The sequence below is a fragment of the Homo sapiens genome, chromosome 6, assembly GCF_000001405.40.
Source record: "Homo sapiens chromosome 6, GRCh38.p14 Primary Assembly".
NCBI lineage: Eukaryota > Metazoa > Chordata > Mammalia > Primates > Hominidae > Homo > Homo sapiens.
Genome location: NC_000006.12, coordinates 70,997,273 through 71,000,420, shown reverse-complemented (window position 1 = coordinate 71,000,420; position 3,148 = coordinate 70,997,273). Strand labels below are relative to the sequence as shown.

General features: G+C 45.8%; 1 annotated feature.

The window, feature by feature from the left end:
• Positions 1,262-1,959: an enhancer, noted in NCBI's record as "H3K27ac-H3K4me1 hESC enhancer chr6:71708165-71708862 (GRCh37/hg19 assembly coordinates)". NCBI's record gives its function as "activates a minimal SCP1, AML or CMV promoter by ChIP-STARR-seq in naive H9 embryonic stem cells {active_cell/tissue: H9 hESC(naive)}" and the evidence as "EXISTENCE:reporter gene assay evidence [ECO:0000049][PMID:30033119]".

Below are 3,148 nucleotides of genomic sequence, written 5' to 3'. Positions count from 1 at the left end.
CCTTTACCATTATATTGTACCCTTGTTTGTCCCTTTTGATCTTTGTTGGTTTCAAGTCTGTTTTATCAGAGATTAGGATTACAACTCCTGCTTTTTTTTTTTTGCTTTCCATTTGCTTGGTAAATTTTCCTCCATCCCTTTATTTTGAGCCTATATGTGTCTTTGCACATGAGATGGGTCTCCTGAATACAGCACATTGATGAGTCTTGACTCTTTATCCAATTTGTCAGTCTGTGTTTTTTAATTGGGGCATTTAGCCCATTTACATTTAAGGTTAATATTATTATATGTGAATTTAATCCTGTCATTATGAAGCTAGCTGGTTGTTTTGCCCATTAGTTGATGCAGTTTCTTCATAGTGTCGATATTCTTTACAATTTGTTATGTTTTTGCAGTGGCTGGTACCAGTTGTTCCTTTCCATGTTTAGTGCTTCCTTCAGGAGCTCTTGTAAGGCAGGCCTGGTGGTGACAAAATCTCTCAGCATTTGCTTGTCTGTAAAGGATTTTATTTCTCCTTCACTTATGAAGCTTAGTTTGGCTGGATATGAAATTCTGGGTTGAAAATTCTTTTCTTTAAGAATGTTGAATATTGGCCCCCACTCTCTTCTGGCTTGTAAGGTTTCTGCAGAGAGATCTGCTGTTAGTCTGACAGGCTTCCCTTTGTGGGTAACCCAACCCTTCTCTCTAGCTGCCCTTAATATTTTTTCCTTCATTTCAACCTTGGTGAATCTGACAATTATGTGTCTTGGGGTGCTCTTCTCAAGGAGTATCTTTGTGGTGTTTTCTGTATTTCCTGAATTTGAATGTTGGCCTGTCTTGCTAGGTTGGGTAAGTTCTCCTGGATAATATCCTGAAGAGTGTTTTCCAACTTGGTTCCATTCTCATCACTTTCAGGTACACCAATCAAACATAGATTTGGTCTTTCACATAGTCCCATAATTCTTGGAGGCTTTGTTCATTCCTTTTTATTCTTTTTTCTCTAATCTTGTCTTCTTGCTTTATTTCATTAAGTTGATCTTCAATCACTGATATACTTCCTTCCACTTGATTGATTCAGCTATTGAAATTGTGTATGCTTCACGAAGTTCTCGTGCTACGTTTTTCAGCTCCATCAAGTCATTAATGTTCTTCTCTACACTGGTTATTCTAGTTAGCAATTCATCTAACCTTTTTTCAAGGTTCTTTGCTTCCTTGCATTGGGTTAGAACATGCTCCTTTAGCTCGGAGGAGTTTGTTATTACTCACCTTCTGAAGCCTACTTCTGTTAATTCGTCAAACTCATTCTCCATCCAGTTTTGTTCCCTTGCTGGCAAGGAGTTGTGATCCTTTGGAGGAGAAGAGGTATTCTGGTTTTTGGAATTTTCAGCCTTTTTGCTCTGGTTTCTCCCCATCTTTGTGGATTTATCTACCTTTGCTCTTTGTTGTTGGTGACCTTTGGATGGGGTCTTTGAGTGGCCGTGCTATTCCTTTCTGTTTGTTAGTTTTCCTTCTGACAGTCAGTCCCCTCTGCTGCCAGTCTGCTGGAGTTTGCTGGAGGTCCACTCCAGACCCTGTCTGCCTGGGTATCACCAGCGGAGGCTGTAGAACAGCAAAGATTGCTGCCTAATCTTTCGTCTGGAAGCTTTGTCCTAGAGGGGCACCTGCCAGATGCCAGCCAGAGCTGTATGAGCTGTCTGTTGGCCCCTACTGGGAGGTGTCTCCCAGTCAGGATACACGGGGGTCAGGGACCCACTTGAGGAAGCAGTCCGACCCTTAGCGGAGCTCGAATGCTGTGCTGGGAGGTCCGCTGCTCTCTTCAGAGCTGTCAGGCAGGAACGTTTAAGTCTGCTGAAGCTGCACCCACAGCCACCCCTTTCCCCCGGCACTCTGCCCCAGGGAGATGGGGGTTTTATCTGTAAGTCCCTGACTGGGGCTGCTGCCTTTTTTTCGGAGATGCCCTGCCCAGAGAAGAGAAATCCTGCAGTCTGACCACATCAGCCTTGCTGAGCTGCAGGGGGCTCAGCCCAGTTCAAATTTCCTGGCTGCTTTGTTTACACTGTGAGCCTAAAACTGCCTACTCAAGCCTCAACAGTGATGGACACCCCTTCCCCCACCAAGCTCGAGCATCCCAGGTCAATCTCAGACCGCTGCTGTGAAGATCAATCTCAGACCGCTGCTGTGCTGGCAGCAAGAATTTCAAGCCAGTGGATCTTAATTTGCTGGGCTCCATGGGGGTGGGACCTGCTGAGCCAGACCACTTGGCTCTCTGGCTTCAGCACCCCTTTCCAGGGGAGTGAACAGTTCTGTCTTGCTGGCGATCCAGGTGCCACTGGGGTATGGAAAAAAAGAACTCCTGCAGCTAGTTTGGTGTCTGCCCAAATGGCCACTCAGTTTTGTGCTTGAAACTGAGGGACCTGGTGGGGTAGGCACCGCAGGGAATCTCCTGGTTTGCAGGTTGCGAAGACCACGGGACAAGCATAGTATCTGTGCCAGAGTTCCTCAGGCTCAGTCCCTCACAGCTTCCCTTAGGTAGGGAAGAAAATTCCCTGACCCTTTGTACTTCCTGGGTGAGGCGATGCCCCACCCTGCTTCGGCTCACCCTCCATGGGCTGCACCCACTGTCCAACCAGTCCCAGTGAGATGAACTGGGTACCTCAGTTGGAAATGCAGAAATCACCCACCTTCTGCATCAATCTTGCTGGGAGCTGCAGACCAGAGCTGTTCCTATTTGGCCATCTTGCCAGCAATCTCCAAGCCTTGATTCTAAGTGTCTCTCCAGGGCCTCTCTTCTGCAACCTGTGCAGCCCCAATCCACTCCTCTTCACAGCAGTGGTTTGCGTGATGTCTCAGCATGTAACCAGGCTCTTCCTGTTGATTTGGGCAGCAACAAGCATAACTTCGTTGTTTGATTCCCTTTCCCTCAGTGAATGATTACTGGACTCTACAGGAGACACTGATAAAATTGCTAAAGATGCTAAAAGGAACAATAGTGTGTCTCTGTCTTGAGAGTGAAAACAGAAGGGTACATTCTGACCGTGAGTATTTAGCCATCTCATTTGGTCTTAGCCAGAAACGTCTCTGAACCTCCAAAATGACAAAATCAATCTTATTGATAATTCACTCTGGCAAACAGATTCACTAAATAGTCTTCTACTTAATAAAAATAACC